This window comes from Homo sapiens, chromosome 12 (genome assembly GCF_000001405.40).
Source record: "Homo sapiens chromosome 12, GRCh38.p14 Primary Assembly".
NCBI lineage: Eukaryota > Metazoa > Chordata > Mammalia > Primates > Hominidae > Homo > Homo sapiens.
In genome coordinates, this window is record NC_000012.12 from 89398200 (window position 1) to 89424859 (window position 26660).

Genomic DNA, 26660 nt, shown 5'->3' on the forward strand with positions numbered 1-26660 from the left:
TAGAGTAATATTTTGGTTTGATACTGCATAAACATGTTTCATAATCTGTGTAATAGCAAACTTGATACTTCCTGAATGTGTCTGTCATTAGCACACCCTTTTCTGTTAGAAGAGAGAAAAAAATATTTTCTTCCTGTTCATAATCAAGGAAATCATTAAACTGAGAAAACTCGTTGCCCTCAGTTATATACTGTCTTTCACTTTTCTTTTCACCTGTCTTCTTTTCATCTTCTCATGCAGAGATGGAGCAAAGAAACCGTCATACTCCAAATGGTGGTGTTTAACCTCAAGTTTGTTTTAAATATACCTGCCTGACTCTGACCAGAGATCAAAGTGAACATCACAAATAACGGGACAAATTGACATTATGTGTCTTCTGATATGACGCTCTGAGAGGAACACAGCACCATAAGGTGGTATCTGTGATATCTCTGGCCAACCATAAGGAAACAATTACACAAACCCAAACTGAGAAGCCTGCAAAATAACTGGCATGAAATCTTCAAAAATATTGAGATCATGAAAGGTAAGAAAAGATAGAAGAATTATTCTAGGTTGAAGAAGACTGAAGAAACATCAAAAGTAAATGAATCGCATGATCATGGGTTGGATTCAAAAATAGGAGGAAAAAAAATGTCCATACATATTGGAACAATAGGTTAATTAGAATGGGATGACTGAGATGGTGTACTAAATGGTGATACTGTGGAAATGCCAACTTGCTGCTCTTGACAACTGTGGCTGTGTAGGAGAATGGCCTTGTCTTTTGTCTTTTTTTTTTTTGACGGAGTCTTGCTCTGCCACCCAGGCTGGAGTGCAGTGGCCCGATCTCGGCTCACTGCAAGCTCCGCCTCCCAGGTTCACACCATTCTCCTGCCTCAGCCTCCCGAGTAGCTGGAACTACAGGTGTCTGCCACCACACCTGGCTAATTTATTTATTTTTTATATTTTTAGTAGAGACGGGGTTTCACCGTGTTAGCCAGGATGGTCTCGATCTCCTGACCTCGTGATCTGCCCGCCTCGGCCTCCAAAAGTGCTGGGATTACAGGCGTAAGTCACCGTGCCTGGCCTTTGGCCTTGTCTTTTAGGAAATTCACACTGACATTCCTAGTGGAACTGGAGTATCATGTCTCCAATTTTCAATTGTTTCAGAAAATAGGTAAGACAGATAGCTAATGATAAAGCAGCAAAATGTTAACAACTGGGGAACCTGGGTAAAAGGTGTATGGCAATTCCTTGTGTTATTACTTCATCTTTTCTGTAAATTTGAAATTTTTTTCAAAATAAAAAAGTTAAAATAAGAACTGTTGAAGTGCATCATGAAGCAATTGTCATTAGGTTACTTATTTACCATTACTATTAAAATGAATATGCTATCTCCATAAAACAAATTGCAAATACAGTATATCTATAGATAGACATACACATACATATTATAAGATATAAACAAATAATTATTTTTTGAGACAGAATCTTGCTCTGTAACCCAGGCTGGAGTGCAGTGCTGCGATCATAGCTCACTGTAGCCTTGAACTCCTGAGCTCAAGCAATCCTCCTGTCTCAACCTCCCAAGTAGCTGGGACTACAGGTGCGTTCCCCCACACCTGGCTAATTAAAAACAAATTTTTTTAAGAGATAGGGTCTCACTGTGCTGCCTAGGCTGGTCATAAACTCCTGGCCTCAAGTGATTCTCCTGCTTCAGCCTCCCAAAGCTCTAGGATTATAAAAATGACCCACCATGTCTGGCCTATTTATTTATATCTTACCTATGCATATGTATATCATTCATCTGGGATCCTACAGACTTGCTGAATTCGAATCTGGGTGAGCTCCCAGAAGCTCCAGGGATTATTGTGGTACATAGCCAGCATGGCAAACCAACCTTGAATCAACTGCTCCCAGTTCCAGGAGCTCTGGGTTGGGCCTGGGAAGGAGGAAATTCTGTTTCCTGTCCTTGTTTTTCTCTCACATTTCAAGTCCTGCGCCCACCATCTTTTCTGTCTTGCTATTTCACACATGAAGGTGTAAATACCTGATAATAACTTAGTGTAGATTCCCAAACTGTGCTCCTCAACACGGATGTGTTCCCAGAAAACAAATGAATACAGAAGCAGACAACCCATCTGATTCTTGGGTTAAATACGTCTGCATAATGCTTCACTCTGTAGTTCCTTCCTGGAAATGGGTAATATGTATTAGGTTTTATAAATGGCTCTAAAGTAGCCTACTTCATTTTGCTTGATTCCATACTTTGCAAACATTTTTGGCGTGGGAACACTCCCCCAGCCCACCTTAACACCTGTCACATAATATCCAGGGACTCTTGTGTTCTCCAGGTTTACTTCCTCCAGAAAGCTGCGTGAACCGCTTAGGATGCCGATGGGAAACACCTAAAGGTAATCAGGCTCAGGCATGACTCAGTCACCTGGCTCAAGTCATCTGTTGTTCTCACATCTCACATCTCTGCCTTCTTGTGTGTGTGTCAGCTTTATCCTCAGAGTGACTTCCCTCGTGAAATTTCAAGATGCCGTGAGCAGCATGCAACTGGATCTAAGGCTTCTCCCTTCATAGTGAGGGAAAGAATGGATTTGCATTTTGTCCACTCTGGTTGTACTACCCCTGATTCAATTACTGGATCAAGGAAAATAGGATTGTTGTGTTGGCTTGGACCCATCTGGGCTCATCCTAATGGCTTCTAGGGTCCCATTCACACATGGCGGCTACACAACAGATGTTGAGGAGGAAATCAGCATGTCCTCCACCTGAACATCCTCCACAATGTGGAATGGAAGCCAGCAGGGCATTGCACCATTCTTTACCCTGTTTACCTGTCCTGGGGCAAGGAAGGCGCCCTCTGAGTATAGTCCTTTCCTGAGGTGGAATAAGCAGGGCAGGGCCAGAGGCACAAGACAGGGCACTGAGGAAATGATAAGAATACCAGTGTATTGGCAGGGCGAGGTGGCTCACGCCTGTAATCCCAACACTTTGGGAGGCCGAGGTGGGCGGATCACGAGGTCAGGAGATCGAGATCATCTGGCTAACGGTGAAACCCCATCTCTACTAAAAACACAAAAAATAGCTGGGCGTGGTGGCACGCACCTGTAGTCCCAGCTACTCTGGAGGCTGAGGTAGGACAACTGCTTGAATCCGGGAGGCAGACGTTGCAGTGAGCCGAGATCATGCCACTGCACTCCAGCCTGGGTGACAGAACAAGGCTCCATCTCAAAAAAAAAAAAAAAAAAAGGAAAAAAAAAACAGTGTATTGAGTTGCCTTTTTCATTTTTTTTTTTATTCCCATGCTTTCCCACGATTAGATTTTTCTTTTTCTTCTTCTTTAGACTCACCCAGATTTCCTGTGAGCCTGGCTCTGGAGCACACTGGTTACTGTTCACCTACATTCAGGACACTTCTGAAAAAAATATTGAACAAAGATTGCTTGCCAGTTCCCTCACTGGAGGTTGAATTCCAAAGGTTATTTTCTTTAAGCCTTAATCTCAATCTTTTGAAGTCAAATCCTTCTCAAGATGGGTCCTCACAAAGTCCTAAGAACTGAACAATGTGTCATTATGACACTTGCAGTAATTTGCAAATAGCATTAGTGAATTCAAGTATTTGTAAGCAACTTTGCATGGGTCAGCCATGCTGTAATCAAGAAAACTACAGTTCTAGGTTAATGTTGGAGCATTAGGTTGACCTAATGCAAACAACGAACAATACGAGTCAAACTTTCTCTTTTTTCCTGAGAAATAGTTAATGTCAAAGTACAGTGCTTTCATGTGACTACCACTAGTGTGGAAAGTGGGCCATCATTCATTTATCACCCCAAGGAGATGAGAGATTCTAGTGCTCAGAGCTGCTCACTGTAGGAAGCCTTGGAAGTGGCCGGTGCCTGTTCCACAGCAGGTGTCCAGTTAAGTGTTATCTCTCTTCTTCCTTCTCTTTTTTGTTTCTCCCTTCCTTCCCGTCCCTTAAAACATTGCCCCAGAGGAAAAGATTCCAAACTTACTGAAAGTTAGTGTAATGAGTTATTCCCCACAGCTATTCTGCTATTGTCCTTCTTGAAGTCTTCAGCCCTGTGATTAGATTACTGCCTAATTCATTTAATTAATTCCTATATGACAAGATGTGTTATCACAAATACACACACACACACACACACACACACACACACCCCTTTAAAAATTTTTTTTTAGGTTCAGGGGTACATGTGAATGTTTGTTACATAGGTAAACCTATGTACGGGGGGTTGTTGGACAGATTTTGTTACCCAGGTATTAAGCCCAGTACCCAATAGTTATCTTTTCTGCTCCTCTCCCTCCTCCCACCCTCCACTCTCTAGTAGACCCCAGTGTTGGTTGTTTCCTTCTTTGTGTTCATAAGTTCTTATCATTTAGCTCCAACTTACAAGTCAGAACATGCGGTATTTGGTTTTCTGTTCCTGCATTAGTTTGCTGAGAATAATGGCCTCCAGTTTCATCCATGTTCCAGCAAAAGACGTGATCTCATTCTTTTTTATGGTTGCATAGTATTCTATGGACATACATACTTTCTTTTTTTTGAGACAAGGTCTCGCTCTTTCACCCAGGCTAGAGCACAGTGGCACAATCTTGGCTCACTGCAACCTTCGCCTCCCAGGTTCAAGCAATTCTCAAGCCTCAGCCTCCTCCCAAATACCTGGCTAATTTTTGTATTTTTAGTAGAGACTAAAAATGTTTCACCATGTTGGCCAGGCTGGTCTGGAACTTCTGCCTCTGCCTCGCACAGTGCTGGGATTATAGGCGTGAGGCATCTTCACCTGGCCGACACAAACACATTTTTTTTTTTTTGAGATGGAGTCTTACTCTGTCACCCAGGCTGGAATGCAGTGTCTCCATCTCGGCTCACTGCAACCTCCACCTCCCAGGTTCAAGCAATCCTCCTGCCTCAGCCTCCCAAGTAGCTGGCATTACAGACGCCCGCCACCACACCCAGCTAATTTTTGTATTTTTAGTAGAGATAGGGTTTCACCATGTTGGCCAGGCTGGGTTCTAACTCCTGACTTCAAGTGTCTGCTCGCCTTGGCCTCCCAAAGTGATGGGATTATAGGCGTGAGCCACCACGCCCAGCCCTGACACACGTACATTTTTAACTTGAGGTTTTCAATGCCTCAATTTGAAACTGTGATGAGAGCTGAGAAATCTCTTCAACGTCCAGTGCTTGGTACTCTCTGAAATCAACCCTCAAGGTAAACTGAGTTTGAAATTTTTTATGGTCACTTTGTGGTATGAGTGACCCCTTAAAGCCTACCTCTGGTTAAATATCTGCCTCAGAGAAGAGTCAGAGCCTGATATTTCTGAGAGTTTTTTGAGGCTCAAAATTCCTCAAGGCCATCTTAGACTTTTGAGACTCCTCTGGTCCTAGAATTACTTCTACATGTCCCATTTTGGCAGATGTAAATCATCAGCAGATGATCTAAATGTTCTAATCTCCATTCTAAGCTACCATTTCCCGGCCATGAAGCCATCTATCATCCCTTAAAACATTTCCAGGAACGAGCTACACTCTATCTCTAAAGGAGGCCCGTTTTGCTTTCAGATAGTACTCATTGTTTGAAAGTCTTCATTAGTTGTCTCTATCCTCCCTTTGCCTTCTGGAGTAAAATAAAAAATGTTGGCCGGGCGCAGTGGCCCACACCTCTAATCCCAGCACTTTGGGAGGCCCAGGCGGGAGGATCACCTGAGGTCTGCAGTTCGAGACCTGCCTGACCAACATGGGGAAACCCTGTCTCTACTAAAAATACAAAATTAGCCAGGCGTGGTGGCGCATGCCTGTAATCCCAGCTACTCGGGAGGCTGAGGTAGAAGAATTGCTTGAACTTGGGAGGTGGAGGTTGCGATAAGCTGAGATCGCGCCATTGTATTCCAACCTGGACAACAAGAATGAAACTCCATCTTAAAAAAAAAAAAAAAAGTCCAGAGTTTCAATATGGCAGCCTTTCAAATACCTAGGTCAGCAGCTGTTTCCTACAGAGGCTTCTGATGGCTGAGTAGGTGGGTCTGCTGTGTCCACCATTCCAAGCTGAGGGATGCAACTTACTTCCTTATACCTAAGTGGCCATGTTCTGTGTGTTTCCACCATCCTGGTCCATTTATGGGCTCATGTGTGACCTATGAGGAAACCCAGCACAAGTGTTTGTCTTACTAAGGACAGTTCATCAATGAGATTCTTTCTCTCAGCACTTTTGTCTGGAAACATGGGAAAAGGTCAATTAGACAGTAACATTAACAAAGCAGAGACACAAAATGAAAAATAGCCAAGTCATGTTAATGTTAATGATGGAGCACTAGAATAGGAGTCCTGTGGCTGGAGGTACAGTATAATAACCAGCTTACCTATAATTTCAATAGGTTCTATCAATAATTTTGAATGATTTCCTGCACTAGATCTCAGCTCTAGGCTCAGTTAGACCCAGCTACAACATGACTCTTCCTTCCAACTAACTTGACTGTCAGCTCTTCCTGGGTTGCCACAATCGAGAGTCTTGCCTGTATTTTCACATATATCCTTCTAAAAATTCCTGAATTACCTAAAATAAACCAGATGAGTCCCTAATCCAGGAACCCACAAGAAACTAACTAATAGTTCTTACCTTCTCTAAGTGTTCTCTTCTCCAGGTAAAGATCTCCAAACTTTCAAACCACTTCTTCAACTTGTCTACCTCCTACTCTCTCCCACCGCCCCCTCTAAGTTTCTGACTCCTACCTCCTCACCCCTAGTATTCGGCATCACCAATGAAGTAGATCAGTGGCAACCCATGGTGAGCACTGTGCTCTGCCTCCTCCAGCATATGTAGAACACCTTTATGATAACAAACATAAAATGTTTACCATCAAATGGATACCTTTCCATGTTTTGAATGATCAAACATTTTTCTACCTGATCTACCCCATGGAACGCAAGGATTGTCAGAACCAAACTTGTAAAAAATGAACTAACATGGTTAAAAAAAATGAACTAACATGGTTGATGGAAGGAAATTCTCTTGAAGGAAATATGAAAATATGATATAGTCCCCTATTGATCTCCTGACTAGCCTTCTTCATTGGATGAGATAATAACAAATATGGGCTCTCATTTCAAGTTACTCAGGTAGTAGTGGGAAAAGAAGTACAATAAAATCCTGGCCAGGTGTGGTGGCTCATGCCTGTAATCCCAGTACTTTGGGAGGCAGAGGTGGGTGGATCACCTGAGGCCAGGAGTTCAAGACCAGCCTGGCCAACGTGGTGAAAATCTGTCTCTACTAAAAATACAAAAATTAGCCGGGCATGGTGGCGTATGCCTGTAATCCTAAACTCCAGATAATACATTTAAATTTAATATCTGAAAAAAAGTAAATATTCTTTTGTGTAGCTAGTTTTTGGCTGCAAGTAATAAAAAAAAATAGTTGTTTAAGCCATAAGGATATTATTTAATGAGGTATCTAAAAATGAGTGCAGGGCCGGGGCGGTGGCTCACACCTGTAATCCTGCACTATGGGAGGTCGAGATGGGAGGATGGCTTGAGTCCAGGAGTTTGAGACCAGCATGGGCAGCATGGTGAGACCCTGTCTCTACAAAAATGTTTAAAATTAGCCAGGTGTGGTGTCACGCATCAGTAGTCCCAGATACTTGGGAGGCTGAGATGGGAGGAATCCTTGACTGAGCCCAAGAATTTGAGGGTGTAGTGAAATATGACTGTGCCACTGCACTCCCACCTGGGTGAAAGAGTGAGATCCTATCCCTTAAAAAAAAAAAAGTGCAAGTTTTGAGTGTTTTTTTTTTTTTTTTGGTTGTTGTTTTCTTCACTGGAGGTTAGAATTCTGCTTGGCATTTTTGTATAACTATGTTCAAGACTGAAAGTCCTGGAAATCCTGAGGCACCAGCAGACTTCCCCCCACATCTCATTAGAGAAGACAGAGACACATGGCCAAGCTGAGTTGCAAAGGAGGCAGGGAAGTGAGTGTCTGGCAAAGGGAAATAGGATTGTCATGACTAGGCAAAGTGTCTGTTTCAGTGTGTTTAGAATCTTTAAAAATAGAGTTTCATTTTATTACAAAAGTTAATACATACTTTTTAGAGAAAGTTTGGAAAATAGAAGGAAAACATTCCCTAATGCTGCTATTCAAAGACTTCTCGATACACCATTTGAATACTGTTCTAATCATATTGCACATAGAGTGTGATCTTTTCTTTCTTCTTTTCCACTTGATATATGATTAACTTAAGGCTCTATGGTTTTGGAAAGATGTTTTCCATTTTGAAATAAAACTTAAACTAAAGGAGGCAGCATAGAGCAGTGGCAAGAGGACTGGCTTGAGAATAAAGAGATGGTGCTTGTTGTCTGCGTTCTGGCACGAATCCATCACTGTATCTCCATTTCCTCAAAATAAATAAGTATGTTTTCTTAGGTCTCCTATTCCCGGGTCTGCAAGAGCATGAGAGCTGTGCCTTTGAGACACACAAGTCACACTGTTCAGATACTGGTTCAACAAAGCAGGTTAGGGCCATGAAGACAAGCAGAAAAGGTAAAACTGGAGGTTATCGCCATGGGAAACTACATGCCCGATACGTAATAATATAATATATAATATGTGATATATAAGATAATACCAGGTCTTCCAATTTTTCAACAGAAACCAGAAATCTAGGCCGGGCACAGTGGCTCACACCTGTAATCCCAGCACTTTGGGAGGTGGAGACGATAGGATCACCTGCGGTCAGGAGTTCAAGACCAGCCTGGCCAACATGCCGAAACCCCCGTCTCTACTAAAAAATACAAAAATTAGCCGGGCGTGATGGAGGGCTCCTGTGGTCCCAGCTACTCAAGAAGCTGAGGCAGGGAGAATTGCTTGAACCTGGGAGGTGGAGGTTGCAGTGAGCAGAGATCATGCCACTGAACTCCAGCCTGGGTGACAGAGCGAGACTCCGTCTCAAAAAAAAAAAAAAAAAAAAAAAGGAAACCAGAAATCTAGATTTTCACTTGATATTGATTTTTCTTTTTTCTTTTTTTGGGGGGTGTGTGTCGGAGGGTGGGCGGATGGAGTCTCATTCTATTGCCCAGGCTGGAGTACAGTGGCACCATCTTGGCTCACTGCAGCCTCCGCCTCCCGGGTTCAAGCGATTCTTCTGCCTCAGCCTCCCAAGTAGCTGGGATTATAGGTGCCTGACACCATGCCCAGCTAATTTTTTTTTGTATTTTTAGTAGAGACGGGGGTTTCACCATGTTGGCCAGGCTGGTCTCAAACTCCTAACCTCGAGTGATCCATGGGCCTCAGCCTCCCAAAGTACTGGGATAACAGGCATCAGCCACCAAGCCCAGCCATTCACTTGATATTGATATTTAAATATTGGCACCTAATTTGAAAACCAAAACAAATCACTGCAGGGGCCAAACAAAACATGTCTATTGGTTGTCAGTTTGTAACTTCAGCTAACCCAGGAGCCAACTTGATCAACACTGGAGCAAGGATGCATATAAAGGGGTTAAGAAGAACTGCTTATAAGACATTTTGACTATGCAGCAACTTAATTGTTACAATGAGGCTAAAACACCAAATGATTGCACTAATAGTGAATAAACATAGCCTAGGATTTATTATTATTATTATACTTTAAGTTCTGGGATACATGTGCAGAACGTGCAGGTTTGTCACATAGGTATACATGTAACATGGTGGTTTGCTGTACCTATCAACCCATCATCTACATTAGGTATTTCCGCTAATGCTATCCCTCCCCTAGCCTCCCACTCCCTGACAGGCCCCAGTGTATGATGTTCCTCTCCCTGTGCCCATATGTTCTCACTGTTCAACTCCCACTTATGAGTGAGAACATGCGGTGTTTGGTTTTCTGTTCCCTGTGTTAGTTTGCTGAGAATGATGGTTTCCAGCTTCATCCATGTCCCTCCAAAGACATGAACTCATCCTTTTTTAGGGCTGCATAGTATTCCATGGTGTATATGTGCCACATTTTCTTTAGCCAGTCTAACATTGATGGGCATTTGGGTTGGTTCCAAGTCTTTGCTATTGTGAATAGTGCTGCAATAAACATATGTGTACATGTGTCTTTATAGTAGAATGAATTATAATCCTGTGGGTATATACCCAGTAATGGGATGGCTGGGCCAAATGGTATTTCTAGTTCTAGTTCCTTGAGGAATCGCCACAGTGTCTTCCACAATGGCTGAACTAATTTACACTCCCACCGACAGTGTAAAAGCGTTCCTATTTCTCCACAACTGCTCCAGCATGTGTTGTTTCCTGACTTCTGGTTTTTTTTTTTTTTTTTGAGACGGAGTCTCGCTCTGTCACCCAGGCTGGAGTGCAGTGGTGCGATCTCGGCTCACTGCAAGCTACACCTCCTGGGTTCACGCCATTCTCCCGCCTCAGCCTCCCAAGTAGCTGGGGACTACAGGCGCCTGCCACCACGCCCGGCTAATTTTTTGTATTTTTTAGTAGAGACGGGGTTTCACCATGTTATCCAGGATGGTCTCGATCTCCTGACCTCGTAATCTGCCTGCCTCAGCCTCCCAGAGTGCTGGGATTACAGGCGTGAGCCACCGCGCCTGGCCTGTTTCCTGACTTTTTAATGATCGCCATTCTAACTGGTGTGAGATGGTATCTTATTGCGGTTTTGATTTGCATTTCTCTAATGACCAGTGATGATGAGCTTTTTTTCATATGCTTGTTGGCTGCATAAATGTCTTCTTTTGAAAAGTGTCTGTTCATATCCTTTGCCCACTTTTTGAAGGGTTTGTTTTTTTCTTGAAAATTTGTTTAAGTTCCTTACAGATTCTGAATATTAGCCCTTTGTCAGATGGGTAGATTGCAAAAACTTTCTCCCATTCTGTAGGTTGCCTGTTCACTCTGATGGTAGTTCCTTTTGCTGTGCAGAAGCTCTTTAGTTTAATTAGACCCTATTTGTCACATTTTGACTTTTGTTGCAATTGCTTTTGGTGTTTCAGTCATGAAGTCTTTGCCCATGCCTATGTCCTGAATGGTATTGCCTAGGTTTTCTTCTACGGTTTTTAATGGTTTTAGGTCTTACGTTTAAATCTTTAATCCATCTTGAGTTAATTTTTGTATAAGATGTAAGGAAGGGGTCCAGTTTCAGTTTTCTGTATATGGTTAGCCAGTTTTCCCAACACCATTTACTAAACAGGGAATCCTTTCCCCATTACTTGTTTTTGTCAGGTTTATCAAAGATCAGATGGTTGTAGATGCGTGGTGTTATTTCTGAGGGCTCTGTTCTGTTCCATTGGTCTATATATCTGTTTTGGTACCAGTACCATGCTGTTTTGGTTACTGTAGCCTTGTATCATATAAAATAGATAGACCGCTAGCCAGACTAATAAAGAAGAAAAGAGAGAAGAATCAAATAGACACAATAAAAAATGATAAAGGGGAGCTCACCACTGATCCGACAGAAACACAAACTACCATTAGAGAATACTATAAACACCTCTGTGCAAATAAACTAGAAAATCTAGAAGAAATGGATAAATTCCCGGACACATACACCCTCCCAAGATTAAACCATGAAGAAGTCGAATACCTGAATGGACCAACAACAAGTTCTGAAATTGAGGCACTAATTAATAGCCTACCAACCAAGAAAAGCCAAGGAGCAGACAGATTCACAGCTGAATTCCACCTGAGGTACAAAGAGGATCTGGTACCACTCCTTCTGAAACTATTCCAAACAATAGAAAAAAAGGGACTCCTCCCTATCTCATTTTATGAGGCCAGCATCATCCTAATACCAAAACCTGGCAGAGACACAACAAAAAAAGAAAATTTCAGGCCAATATCCCTGATGAACATCGATGTGAAAATCCTCAATAAAATACTGGCAAACTGAATCCAGCAGCACATCAAAAAGCCTATCTACTACGATCAGGTCTGCTTCATCCCTGGGATGCAAGGCTGGCTCAACATATTCAAATCAATAAATGTAATCCATCACATAAACAGAACCAGTGACAAAAACCACATGGTTATCTCAATAGATGCAGAAAAAGCCTTTGATAAAATTCAACATCCCTTCATGCTAAAAACACTCAATAAACTAGGTATTGACGGAACGTCTCTCAAAATAATAAGAGATATTTATGACAAACCCACAGCCAATATCATACCAAACGGGCAAAAGCTGGAAGCATTCCCTTTGAAAACCGGCACAAGGTCGGGCGCGGTGGCTCACACCTGTAATCCCAGCACTTTGGGAGGCCAAGGCAGGCAGATCAACGAGGTCAGGAGATCGAGACCATCCTGGCTAACACGGTGAAACCCCATCTCTACTAAAAATACAAAACATTAGCCGGGCATGGTGGCGGGCGCCTGTAGCCCCAGCTACTCGGGAGGCTGAGGCAGGAGAATGGCGTGAACCTGAGAGGCGGAGCTTGCAGTGAGCCGAGATCCGCCACTGCACTCCAGCCTGGGCAACAGAGTGAGACTCCGTCTCAAAAAAAAAAAAAAGGAAAAAGAAAACTGGCACAAGACAAGGATCCCTCTCTCACCACTCCTATTCAACATAGTATTGGAAGTTCTGGCCAAGGCAATCAGTCAAGAGAAGGAAATAAAGCTATTCAAATAGGAAAAGAAGAAGCCAAATTATCTCTGTTTGCAGATGACATGATTGTATATTTAGAAAACCCCACTGTCTCAGCCCAAAATGTCCTTAAGCTGATAGGCAACTTTAGCAAAGTCTCAGGATATGAAATCAATGTGCAAAAATCACAAGCATTCCTATACACCAATAATAGACACACAGAGAGCCAAATCATGAGCAAACTCCCATTCACAATTGCTATAAAGATAATTGAATACCTAGGAATACAACTTACAAGGGATGTGAAGGACCTCTTCAAGGAGAACAACAAACCACTGCTCAAGGAAATAAGGGAGGACATAAACAAATGGAGAAACATTCTATGCTTATGGATAGGAAGAATTAATATCGTGACAATGGCCATACTGCCTAAAGTAATTTATAGATTCAATGCTATTCCCATCAAGCTACCATTGGCTTTCTTCACAGAATTAGAAAAAACTATTTTAAATTTCATATGGAACCAAAAAAAACCCATATAGCCAAGACAATCCTAAGCAAAAAGAACAAAGCCGGAGGCATCACGCTGCCTAGAATTTTATCATCTCTGGTTGTTTTATATGCACATTATAATTACTTCCCATTGCTGATTCCAAAAATGAAATGCCCTTGGGAATGGGCTGAGCTTTGATGTGCTCTCTTGAATAAGTTTGTACTGGATTGGAAGCTACTAAATTAGGACCCTCCTAGGCCTCAAGTCCTTTCAAATGTATTTTTCAGGATCACATATGATTCAAAATCAAGTCCTGTGTCTTTTGCCTTAATCACTCAGTTTAAGGTGAAAATAATGAAAGTCTTAGATGTTCTCGTGAGTAAGAACTGCCACCTCAAGCAGTTGATTCTTTTCCTCCCGCCTCAATGTTGCATCTTTAATCTCTCCTTTTCAGAGAAGGAATGATCAACATCACCAGTTGTGAGACTCTCCAACTCTCACTTGCTGAAAGCGGTGAAGAAGGGGGATTTAACAACTTTGAACTTTTCATGTGATTTTTGCCTTTGACACAGTTGTTATTAGTGTTCTGAAAAAGCAACACCCCCTTGCAAGAACATCAGGTTTCTAAATGATTTATCTTCTCACAGACCTTGATATTCAATCCAGGTGTGGAAATAAATAGTATAGACCTCGGGTTCTATCCTCTAGGCTTGGAAAGGCTTCAGTGGAATTCTATAGCAAAAGGCCCAGGCACTTCCCCTGACTTCGTCTTTGTTCTGCTAACTTTTTATCTCTGAAAAGCAAAGGGATTTCCTCTGGGGATTAAGCAGGGGAAACAACCTAAGGTAGTGATAGTGTTTCATCAGAATTAAGAGATGCAAATCTCAGCAAGAAGTCCTTGTCCACAACCTTGGACTGTTCCCCCTCCGTATCTGGCATCGAGCTTCACAAATCCTTGCCCTGCTGAGCTTTCTTATTCTTCTTTCTCCTGGCCACAGAAGTATCTTGGGTAAACAGTAGTCGTTTCTTAAGTAAGGGTGTCTCATCTCAAAGTGATCCGTGCTGGCATTATTTTTTCTTTTTCTTTGTTTCTTTTTTCTTTTTTTTTTTTTTGTAGTTTTCAAAAGTTTTTAATGTAGGCCAGGCGCAGTGGCTCACACCTGTAATCCCAGCACTTTGGGAGGCCAAGTCAGGTGGATCACTTGAGGTGAGGAGTTTGAGACCAGCCTGGCCAACATGATAAAACCTCGTCTCTACTAAAAACACAAAAATTAGCAGGGCATGGTGGGTGCCTGTAATCCCAGCAATTCGGGAGGCTGAGGCAGAAGAATCCGCTTGAACCCGGGAGGTGGAAGTTGCAGTGAGCCGAGATCGCACCAATGCACTCCAGCCTGGGCGACAGAGTAAGACTCCGTCTCAAAAAAAAAAAAAAGTTTTTAATGTATTAAAAGCATTCTGAAATAAATACTTAAAAATCCATAGATGCTCTCTCATCCTGCCATGTCTTGGTTTCGAGTTCATGAAACCATCAGAGGGAGAGAAACACATGTTCCTTCCTTCCTTCCTTCCTTCCTTCCTTCCTTCCTTCCTTTCCTTCCTCCCTCCCTTCCTTCCTCCCTTCCTTACTTCCTCCTTCCCTCCCTTCCTCCCTCCCTTCTTTGTCTCACTCACTCTCGTCACCCAGGCTGGAGTGCAAGTAGCATGATATCGGCTCACTGCAGCCTCCGCCTCCTGGATTCAAGAAATTTTCCTGCCTCAGCCTCCCCAGTAGCTGGCATTACAGGCACCCGCCACTATTCCCAGCTAATTTTTGTACTTTTAGTAGAGACCTGGTTTCGCCATGTTGGCCAGGCTGTTCTCAAATTCCTTATCTCACGTGACCCACCTGCCCCAGCCTCCCAAAGTGCTGGGATTACAGGTGGGAGCCACCATGCCTTGCCTTTTTTCTTCCTTTTTTAAAATTTAGAAACAGGGTCTCACTATGTCACCCAGGCTGGAGTGCACTGGTGCAATAATAGCTCTCTGCAGACTCGAACTCCTGGGCTCAAGCAATCCCCCTGCCTCGGCCTCCCAAGTAGCTAAGACTATAGGAATGCACCCAATTAATTTTTAAAATTTTGTGGAGATGGAGTCTCACTATGCTGCCCAGGCTGGCCTCCAACTCCTGGCCTTAAGTGATCCTCCCATCTCAGCCTCCCAAAATGCTGGGATAATAGATGTGAGCTACTATGCCCAGCCTGTTTTTATTCTAAAATACTCTTTACTACATGTTGGGGTTTCCTTTCTCACACAGACGTTGTTCAGTGAAGTTTAAGTTTTCTTTTTCATATTTTCTGTGTGATTGAGCATTTTTAGTTATTTCCATTTTTATGATATACTTTCTGCATATTTGGCATATAGAGTTTTGACTAACCCTTACATTGTGTGGTTCAGAATATGACCAAGCTTTGTTTAAGATACCCTTGGCCAAAAAAGTGAATTTTTTTTTACTTCCATGCAGTTTTTTACATATATGTTAAGTCTGCCTTATTACCTTTGTATTGTGTGAACTAAATTCTACTTTTGAAATGTTGATATTCCCAATTTTGTGTTGCATTTCTGCCAATTATTTATTTGTTTATTTATTTATTTATTTATTTATTTTTTCTTTTCAGATGGAGTCTTGCTTTGTCGCCCAGGCTGGTGTGCAGTGGCACCATCTTGGCTCACTGCAACCTCCGCCTCCCAGGCTCAAACAATTCTCCTGCCTGAGCCTCCCAGGTAGCTGGGATTACAGGCGCCCATCATCATGCCCGGCTAATTTTTTGTATTTTTAGTAGAGATGGGGTTTCACCATGTTGGCCATGCTGGTCTTGAACTCCTGACCTCAAGTGATCCGCCCACCTCGGCCTCCCAAAGTGCTGAGCTTACAGGTGTGAGCCACCATGCCCAGCCAATTTTTTCTATTCATGTATTTTTTGTTTTATAAGTTTAGAATTTTTAGGTGATCGTTATTTCTCCTATTGCTTTTGTTGTAAATCTATTTTATAATGAGAAGAATCTCAAATCAAATGTTTATTTTTAGTAGGAACACGTTTGAGATTTGACTCCGAAGAAAATGCAACTAATGTACCTTGCAAAGAAAAAAGTAGTTGTGCACATACCCCTGCCACCCATGCTTCCCATTAACCTCTGCCTCTTGGCAAGCCATTGACCTATTTTCCTAGTAAGCTCAGGCTGCAATTGTGTTACCTGACTGAGTCACAGTTGGGGCTTATGGAGGACAACCTGGCAATTACATTGTGTTCCTAGATTCACTGTACATTCATAAATCCTCTGGTGCATGAAGTCTAAAACCTCGTGACTTGCTAAGGCAAAGAGTTGTATAAGCCATCAAGGAAAATGAAGCATATCAATTATATAATTTCACTTAAAAATCTACTAGAGACCCACCTGTTTTTATTATTAAATTTGCTCATAGATTGATCAGATTTGTCAATAACCCTCAAATATTAGAATAACTGTTTTTTTTGTCTCAGCAGCCAACTATTTCTACCCAGGAACAGATAGTTTATCTTCCAATCCTCTTAGATGCATAGAATTCATGGGACTAACAGCCTCCAAGTTTGCTCTACATATAAATGAAATGTTAAGTGAGGGTCCGTACTATCTTGTCTTTAGAGAAAAGGCAGTAAGCAGATAATACCTGTTCTCCAAATGGTCAAAGGGCAAAAATAGTTTGAGTTCCAGGCAAGCCTTTTTCTTAATGACATTTACTTGATTCACATTCCAAGCCCTTCCCCCACTTCTGGTTTTTGCCTCACTTTTATTTAGGATAATTATGACATTAGTCTTCTAAGGCTGAATTCCTCAGGAGTTGCTCAATTGCCAGCATTTGGCCAGAACTTTGAGGTTTTCTATGTATGAAAGGCTAATTTCTTTTATATAATCATTCTTTTTGTTAAATTTTTAAAAATGCAACATTCGCTTTGAATTAAATATCACACATTTATTCACTACCACTTAGTAACAGTCCCTGTATCTGATTTCAGTAGTTACAGTTGAAATCATACTTTTTGGAAATGGAGTCCAGAGAAACAAAATGATTTATTAATAACAATAATAGCCGGGTGCGGTGGCTCACGCCTGTAATCCCAGCACTTTGGGAGGCCGAGGCGGGTGGATCACGAGGTCAAGAGATCAAGACCATCCTGGCCAACATGGTGAAACCCCGTCTCTACTAAATATACAAAAAATTAGCCGGGCGTGGTAGCGGGTGCCTGTAGTCCCAGCTACTCGGGAGGCTGAGGCAGGAGAATGGCGTGAACCCGGGAGGCGGAGCTTGCACTGAGCCGAGATCGCGCCACTGCACTCCAGCCTGGGCGACACAGCGAGACTCCGTCTCAAAAAAAAAAAAAATAATAAAGAAAATAATAACAACAATAGCTACCATTTATTGATCACTTACTCCGTGACAGCTACTGTGCTAATCATTTCACAAATGCAGTTCACGTTATTATTTTCACCTTTTATGGTTAAGGAAACTAAGCTTTGTGAATACCTTCCCTGACAGTCGCACTGTTAGAAAATGGCATAGCCAGAATTTGCATCAAGTTTTTCTGGCTTATAAGACTGTCTACGTAACTGCTGAGCTATCTAACAACTGGCAGGTTATAGCAGTGCCCACTTAGCCCCAAATATCGAGTGTCTAAATGTTTGCCTATCCTATTTCTTCCAGCCCACCCGCCCTAGTTTTAACTGCTTTTGGCTTTAAGTGAAGCATAGAGCAATGTTTTAGAAAGAAACACTTCAATAAATGAAAATAAAAAATACTCATTTATTCAAGAACGAATTGTTGAGCTCCTCCTATGAGCCAGACAACGCACTAGGTGGAGAATCTAAAGATGACAACGCCTGCCTTTTGGGTAGGTTAAGTCATAGTGGAAGAGGCAGAGCTGCAACTGTATTGCAATCTCTGTTGTACCAGAGATAAGCACAGAATGCTGAGGAAGCACAACAGAAAAAGAATGAAGGGATACGCAAGCTGCCTTTTAAAGGATGAATAGGGGTTTTCCAGGAAGAGAAGAGTTATGTAGGGTGACAGGGAAAAAGCATGCTCAATATAAGTGGAATTGGGAAGGGAGAGGTGCTTCATCCCATAATGGTGAAAAGTTCAGCAGGGCTGAGGAAAAGATGCATGATTGTGGGGGAAGGGATAAAGAATGTAGAAAAGGAGGCATGCTCGGAAAATAACCTCGAAAAGGTAAGGATTGAGGACAGATGGTGGCAGTTTTAGAACACTATGTGAAAGACTTGGATATCTACAGTGTTAACTAGGCAGAGGCCAGACAGGTAATGTTTAGCAGTGGAGGGGGATGGAGACAATATGGAGTAGTGTATGTCTGCTTCACCCTGCCCTAGTTCATTGCTGCCATGGAGGAATACAGGCCCAATAGTTGCAGATCTTCTGATTTCTTAAGACAAGCCAGAGACCTAATTTAGTTAATATAAAATTTCCAACTTTTAAATGTCAGTAGGTAAATAAAAATTATTTTTTAAAAACTATGAGCCAAGCAAAACAGCTCAGCAGCTGGATTTGTGTTCATCCCACAGGCAAGTGGCTTGCTCTGTCTCTGGAAGCAATGAGTAGCACAAGTTTGTATTAAAATTCCAAAGCCTTAGTAAAGGACCCAGAGGTCCTATCAACTAAATAATCACATATTGTTAGAAAGGTAAAGCCTATCAACTTACCTTCTTTCCACATAGTAGTTTTTAAGTATATTCCATAATTATTGAATAAACAAAATCTTCCCTGAAATTATTTTCACATATTCCACTAAAGTTCACTAATTGAACTTCCTATTTTCTTCTGTACTATTTAAATAAACTAATCTTCAAGATTAAAATAAGAAATAATCTATTTGTAAATGAGATACAAACTAACCTTTGTTTTGTTAAAATAATTAATTGGGAGCCCATTACACTGAGGCAGCTCTAGCGCCCAGAGATCCTATGTAAGCAAACTGAAACCTAACTCAGAGTAAGTGGTCATATCCTAGGAAGACCATATTTAACAAATCAGAACCCACCAACTAATCTCCACCTAGAGACTTTAAGGCTGCTGTTCCACTTTAACCAATCCAAATATTTTCTGTCTTGCTTCCTCAAACACCTTATAAAAGTTTTCCCCTTGCACTCCCTTCAGGGGAGCCCAAACGGCTTGCAGTTTGGCAATGTCTGATTCGTGAGTCACTGTTGCTCAAATAAACTTTAAAAAAATTTAATGTGCCTCTGCTTAATAGATACATCAAGCAAATGAGAAGTTATCTTTTTTAAAAAAGTCTGTAAAACCTTTAACATCTACTATAACAACTTGTATAAGTCCAAGAGAAATATTTATGTGCAAGAAAATAATCCTATCTGTAGCAGCTAGGAAGACAGATATAGAGAAATCCTATTATATTCTATTTGGTTGAGCCATACTCACTAAGAAGGAAGTGATAGTATCAGATGATGTGGCTGAAGATTAATATGGCTCCTTTGGTGTTTTTCCCCTATCACAGATATCCTGAGGACTCACTCCTGCTCAGCCACTCACATCAAATTTAGTTTCTTGAAATGGGCTGCTGAGGCATTCTGCTCAGGAATTAATCATAGCTGAGAAGCTGCTTCAGGGGTGGAGGAAAAAAATCTGCAACTTATTGTTATCCTATATTCACACAATATACGCTGTGTGCCTACTACAAACTGGAAACCGTTCTCAGCTGTAAGATCCATCAATGCGGAGTTGCTTACCAGGGGAAGACATGTGTGAACTGATGTATGTGTCAGATGGTAATAAGTGCACTGGAGAAAATGAAGCCTGGCAAAGGGTCAGGGAGTGAATGGAGGGTCACTTGGGCAGTCAGGGAGGGCACTTCTGAACAGGTACCAGGTGAGCAAAGGTTGAATGTTTTAAGGCATTGATGCCTGAGGGCAGAAAGTTCTAGGCAGAGGAAATGTACAGATGCCCTCAGGAGGGAACACTTTGCTTCTTCAAAGGGTTGCAAAGAGGCCGCTATGGCCAGAGGGTGGTGAGTGAGGATTATTCAAGGAGAAGGAAAGGGAAGTTTAAAGAGGAGAAGTTGCGTCTTGGCCTTTTACTCTGGAATGGGAAGCCCTGAAGTGTTCTGTGCTGAAGAGCCACGTGCTTTGACTCAGGCTTTTCAAGAACCACTGTGGCCCGCTGTGCAAGGGTGACATCAGGGAGACCAGTCAGGAGGTGCTATGGTTTGGATATGGTTGTTTGGCCCCACCAAGTCTCATGTTGAAATCTGATCCCTACTGTTGGAGATGGGGCTTAAGGGGAGTTGTTTGGGTCATGGGGGTGGATCCCTCATGAATGGCTTGGTGCCCTCCTCGAAGTAGAGAGTGAGTTCTCAGTCTTAGTCCCTGTGAGAACTGACTGTTAAAAAGAACTTGGCACCACTCTCCCCTTTCCTTCCTCCTCTGTCACCATGTGCTGCTGGCTCTCCTTCACTTTCCACCATGAGTGAAAGCAGCTTGAAGCCCTCACTAGAAGCATCTGCACTATGCTTCTTGTGCAGTGTGCAGAACTATGAGCCAAATACACCTCTTTTCTTTATAAATTATCCAGCCTCAGGTATTCCTCTATAGCAACACAAAGGGAATAAGATAGGAGGCAACTGTAGTCTTCCAGCCAAGAGATTAGTGGCTTGGATCATGGTGGGAAATGAAGGTGGTAAGAAGTGGTCAGGTGTTTTCTACATTCTGACAAAATGTCCTGAAGGAATGAACTGTGGGGTGTGAAGAAGAATCAAAGAGGATTCCACGTCTTCAGCTTGAGCAACAGGAAGGAAAGCTGTCATTTTATTGACACATGCAAGTCCAGGAAAGAAGCTGCTAGTGATGCTGGCTGGGGTGCAGAGTTAGAGGTAGAGGGCAGAAAAATTGGTTTTGGACCTATCTAGAGATGCCTGTTAGAGTTCCAAGTGGAGACGCTGATCAGGCAGCTGGATATTCAAGTTAGGAAAGGGATGGGCTGGAATCTGATGAAGATGAAGGAGATTCCTCAAATGCTAAAAATAAATAAATAAATAAAGAGGGAAGTTAGAAAAATTGAGTCTGTTGAAAAAGTTTCAAGGCATCTGCATTTATATCATCACTATTTTTGTATCACTTATAAAGTTCTGTGATGACTGTAAAAACTATGTGGCAACATCAGGTTCTAAGAAGTGGCTACAGGTGGTTCCTAAAGTGTGGACCTCAGGCCAAAAGCATCAGCATCACCTATGAGATTGTTAGAGATGCAAATGATTGGGCCCCACCTGACCCATGGAGTCAGCTCTGGAGATAGGGCCCAGGAAACTGTTTTGACAAGCTCTCCAGAAGATTCGCACACACATTAAAGACTGAGTGAGCTGGATGATAAGATGTTTAGTACTTCCGGGTTTTAATCATTTAAAAAGAAAAGGAACAACTTTTTCTTTTAAAGCAGAAATGTCTTTATTGTTTGAAGCATGACAAAATAAAATTGATAGGACATTTCATTTCTTACTTAGTCTTCTCAATGGGGTTATAAAAATACAATGCCACTTAGTTTTTGTAAGCTCTTGAAAATGTCCAGAAGCTCACACTTAGTATGATATTAAAAGGCACTTATAACACACAATAAGATACTTAGAAACCCATCTCATAGATACAATTGAAATTTCTTTGAGAAAAATTTCTAAATATAGAAATAAATAGGACGGCACTATTTCTTCTTTTCCAAAACACAGAATAGCATTTTCCCCATGTTACCTATACACACCATAAATGTGGACACCTCCTCCCATTTTTGTTCTTGATACAGGTTGATAATCAAGCTGAAATTAATTTGCTTGCTTTTCTTCAATTTAATCTCAATTTGGTTTAAAATAAAGCAAAATTCTTAATTTGTATCCAGGATCTTTTAGAATACCTGGCTTATTTTCATTTTGTTTTAAATCACAATTCATTAAATAGGAAGATGATGATGCAAAAATTTTAAAAAGTACTTACTATTTAGCTGCCCAAATCACCCTAAGCAACAATATTTCTGAAGCATGTGTACATACATGTGTGTATATTTTTAAATATCACTTTTGTATCACTCTGACTTTTTAGCATACTGAAAACACACTAACATAATTTTTGTGAACCATGATCAGATACAACCCAAATCATTCATCTAGCACATTCATCTGTGATAGAAAGATAGGTGAGTTTCATTTCCTTCAGGTTGGCCAATGGATAAACAAAGTACGCCATAAATTAACTAAAAAACCCACTGCCCTATGCTATATCTGTGCTATTGTTAATTAAAATAAGTGTATTCTTGCTGTGGAAATTCTGTGGTCTGGGAATTTTTATTTGTTCATTCTTTCAAGGCATTAGTAAGAAAGGATAATTTCTATTTTGAACAGAAAGACATACAACTAGTCAGATCAATAACTCATTATTGGCATATAGGATGCTATTTTGGAGGTAAGTGAATTATTTCACCCCATGACTGTCTGAATATGGTCAATCTGAAATGACTTAACAGTGAAATCCAGAGATCTGGTTACTTTCCTGGCAGGATTTGGCCTATAAATGAAAATGGACATTTAAAATAATATGGGGAAAATACAGAGTTGCTTGAATGCTTATCACTTTATTACTGCAATCATAAATGATAGTAATTTAAATTAGTCCTTCACATTGATATGTGTTTAAATTAGTCCTTAGGTATGCCTTTTCTGCCTTTTGTTCTGTTGCTCACCCTTTTAAGAAATGCCATGATAAATAGCACATGGTTGTGTTGTATGGAGTATCTTGTACTACCTTCCTGAGTGTATGTACATTTGTTCATTTATTGGGCCTCTGCCCAACAAATGAAAATGAATTTTTTATTCAGCTTTTCTGTTGGACAGCACTGAAAAGCTTTTGCTGATTTTCAAGGCAGTCTTTCAGCTTATCCTCTGTCAAAGTCAGTCGCTGCTCCAAGATTGAAACAGTCTGCAAAAAGGAGGATAAAATAATCAATGCCTGGTCCTCTGGTGGTGAGGATGACAATGACAATCTCTGCATAGGAAATCCTTTTAAGAACTGGGATGCCCACCCTTCTACCAAGAAGTTGGCTCAAAAATGAGCCCCAGAACTTGCTGTGCTTCTGGGCCCAACCATAGGGCAAGGCATTATCAAGCAGTTGGAGAAAAGAAAAGAAAAAGAAAAAACCCAAACTGATGTGTTTGAGAAAAAAAGCAGTGGAAGATCAGACCTCTTATGCCTGATCTTCTAAAGCACCAAAACCAGGGAAGAGGCCACACAGCGTTCTAAGTGGTGCCATAAGCTACACACTTAGTGGAGAAGGGGAGGGGGTGCGAAATTCCACATGCCAGCCAGATGCCACTGAAATGTCATCACTACTCATTCTGTCACAATCCAATCCATGGCAAACCGTACCTATAGCACTGCAGATGGATGGCTAGATTGCTTTGAAAATATCCTAACAATCGCCTCCAGTTCCCTCACACAGAAGATGCTAATATTACCTCGTGGAGTTGTTAGGAGGATTGAATAAAATAATGCATGTAAAATGCTTACGCTAGTGTTGGACACACACGGTTTGAATAATCCTGTACTCACTTATTAGCTGAAGGAGTTAGAACACATCCAGAATACATATACAAACACATATACATATATATATTAAATGTTAACATATGTTTTATATATATGTTAAACTTGGGATATCTAATTTTTGTGATACTGGCTACTCTGCCTTCATTCTTTTGTATCTTTTTTTTTTAAAAAAACTTATTATAAAATGAAACATAGATTATTCAGGAACCCACACAAGGTACATGTGTTATTTAATGGATTCTTATAAGAAATACATCCTCAAAACCATCACCCATAGCAAGAACTAGACTCTGCCAGCCACCCCAGAGGAGCCTTCCACGTGCCTACCACGACTTCCTTGCCCGCCCTCTGTAACAGCCACTATCCTGACCTTTACAATGATTGCTTTCTTGTGTTTCTTTATGGTTTTATTTCTCAGATGTACATCCCTAGACATTAAAATTTTCTTTCGCATGTCAAGAATTAATGTGTCACTTAAAGTCTCTCTTAATCTACAGGTACCCACCCTCTCCCTCTCTTTTCTTTACAATTTCTCTGTTGATAAGCTCAGGCCATCTGTCAAGCTCAGAAACTGCACACTCAGGGTGCAGCTCAGCCTGTTCTTCCATCTTCTGTACATTCTCTAAGTTGGCTATTGGATCCAAAGGCTTGATCAGGTTACATGCCTTGGAAAGACTACAGGTGGTGGCCTATTCTCTGATTAGAAGGCAGATTAATAATGTTTGGTCATTTCTCATGAATGTCATAGTGACTCAATGTCTATATCTATTAATTCCTGGAGTTTGCAAATGATGATATTCTAATTCTATTATTAAAACATTCTGTTAGTTGGGATAACTAATAAGTAAGAGACATTTTCCTCATCTACTATTTGGTTACCTAATGGTAGAGTTCATACAGGAAAGGCATGACACTTGCTTGGTATTTTAGTCAACCAGTTTTAAGATAAAAAAATGGAATCCCTATCATCTTTTGAATGCAACCAATTTTTAAAGATATTATTTAATAGCTTTTGCCTTCATATTTTATATTATCTATAGATCATTACTAATGAAAAATAATGGTGATGCTGTTAATACAGTCTACCATTTACTGAGTGCCTACTATGTGCCAAGCATTTTATTACACACTTTTTTTTGAGACAGGGTCTTAGTCTGTCACCCAGGCTGGAGTGTAATGGCTTGATCTTAGCTCCCTGCAACCTCTGCCTCGTGGGCTCAAGTGATCTTCCCACCTCGGTCTCCTGGGTAGCTGTGACCATAGGTGCGTGCCACCCTGCTCGGCTAATTAACTTGTTGTTGCTGTTGTTGTTGTTGTAGAAATGAGGTCTTAGCATTTTGGGAGGCCGAGCTGGGCGAATCGCTTGAGCCCAGGAGTTTTAGACGAGCCTAGGCAACATAGCGAGACACTGTCTCTAAATAATAAAGAATAAAAGAAGAAATGGGGTCTCACTATATTGCCCAGGTTGGTCTTGAACTCCTGGGCTCAAGCAATCCTTCTGCCTCGGCTGCCCAAAGTGCTGGGATTATAGGTGTGAGCCATTGTGCCCAGCCCTTCAGACACTTTTATACATTATCACAGTTCCAAATGCTAGAAGTTATTTATACATTTATTATTAACACCTTTAACACTGGTTAACTCCATCTGTCTACCATCTAAAACATAATTTCATTTAAATTTATTTCTAATTATAGTTCAGTAACGATAAACACCGTCCAACTTAGTTAGGTGATGTTAAGTCATCTGTAATTAAAGTAAATCAGAACACATTTATTTTACTTGCTGCTTGCCCACAGATTCACTGCTCCCCTTTTGCAAGTGTGTTGTGCCTGCTTCTAACCTTTTTAATATGTAAAATGAATCCATCCCCTAAAAATTAAAAATCATAGAGAAATTCAGTACAGCTTAAAGTGATTTATTTAGCTTTGAATCTGGTAAAAAGGAGGAGAAATAGGTCATGAAACTGAAAGAACAGGGAATGGAAGGATTCACTTCGGAGGGACCCTAATGAGAACTCAATGTTGAAAGGTAACAGTTGAGGTGAGGAAGTTATGGCAATATGGGAAACAAACCAACTACAACTAAATTTGACATGAAGGGAAGAGGGCAATGGCCTTTAAGGAAAAGAGATGTCTGATAAATATAGAGAAAGTCACGTCTAGTACAACATTACAAAATGAAAGTGAGTGATTTTTAATATGATTTTCATTGAGCAAATCATATGATGACTCCAAGTTCTCACATGGCTCTTTCTCACAATCTGTCAGATGCCTCCAAAGGCCCTGAGGTGATAACTACAGGATAAAAATATTCACTTAAATTAGTGGTTTTCAACACTGGCTGTAAAACAGAATCATATGTGGGTTCTTAAAAGACTGATGCTAGGGGCTTATCCCAGACCAATGGAAATGGACTCTCTGGAGGTGAAAACCAGGTATATGTACATTTTTTAGCTGCTCTAATGATTATAATGTACAGTCAGGGTTGAGAACCAGTTGGGTGATTTCTATGCAAAAGCTATTTCTATTTGAAATATTTTTCTGGACAAGCAATTGACATCTCTGTAGTTCATATTTTACCATCTTTTTATATAACTTGCTACTGTCCACTCTGACAAATATTAGTATTTAGTATTCTCATTCTACACATCAAAGAGGAAGAAGAGAAGACTTATTCAAAGGGAACAATGAATCAACAGAGTTGGAAGAGAAACCTTTGGTGTATGCATTTCAACATACCACTTCCCTTAAATTATGTCTGTACCTTGTAACCAAGAATTTTGGTATATTATTTAAGATGCATTGTATTTTTCTTTGCAAAGGTAAACTGGCCTCAAAAAAGTGGATAATATTCTAACATGGGAATGCAAAACCATCATGCCTGGAAGATCACTGCATCAAGGTAAGAGGCTTTGGGATAAGAGAAGTTAAATACTGGACAGTGAGAACATTTTCAAAGTAAAAAACTATAAACAT

At 41.0% G+C, this 26660-nt stretch overlaps 2 protein-coding genes and 1 long non-coding RNA gene across 14 annotated transcripts in view; 1 reads left to right on the forward strand and 2 right to left on the reverse strand.

The window, feature by feature from the left end:
- LOC124902981 (uncharacterized) lies at positions 1 to 26587 on the forward strand. Its single transcript, XR_007063401.1, has 2 exons — positions 1 to 526; positions 26507 to 26587. It is a non-coding gene; the product is annotated as an uncharacterized LOC124902981 (long non-coding RNA).
- POC1B-DUSP6 (POC1B-DUSP6 readthrough) overlaps positions 1 to 26660 on the reverse strand; it is a 177983-nt gene that overhangs the window by 50135 nt on the left and 101188 nt on the right. The window lies entirely within an intron of this gene.
- POC1B (POC1 centriolar protein B) overlaps positions 3268 to 26660 on the reverse strand; it is a 124581-nt gene continuing 101188 nt past the window's right edge. For 4 of the 7 annotated variants that reach the window (NR_037659.2, NR_037660.2, NM_172240.3 and 1 more), the window contains one exon: positions 21519 to 23058. Coding sequence is in view for 5 of the 7 variants with exons in the window: in NM_172240.3 (NP_758440.1) it covers positions 22954 to 23058 (105 nt within the window). In the remaining 2 variants the exon portion in view is untranslated. Of the gene's footprint in view, positions 3410 to 6075; positions 6147 to 21518; positions 23059 to 26660 lie in introns of those variants that run through there. The other 3 variants (NM_001425773.1, NM_001425772.1, NM_001425771.1) reach the window with 2 other exon arrangements.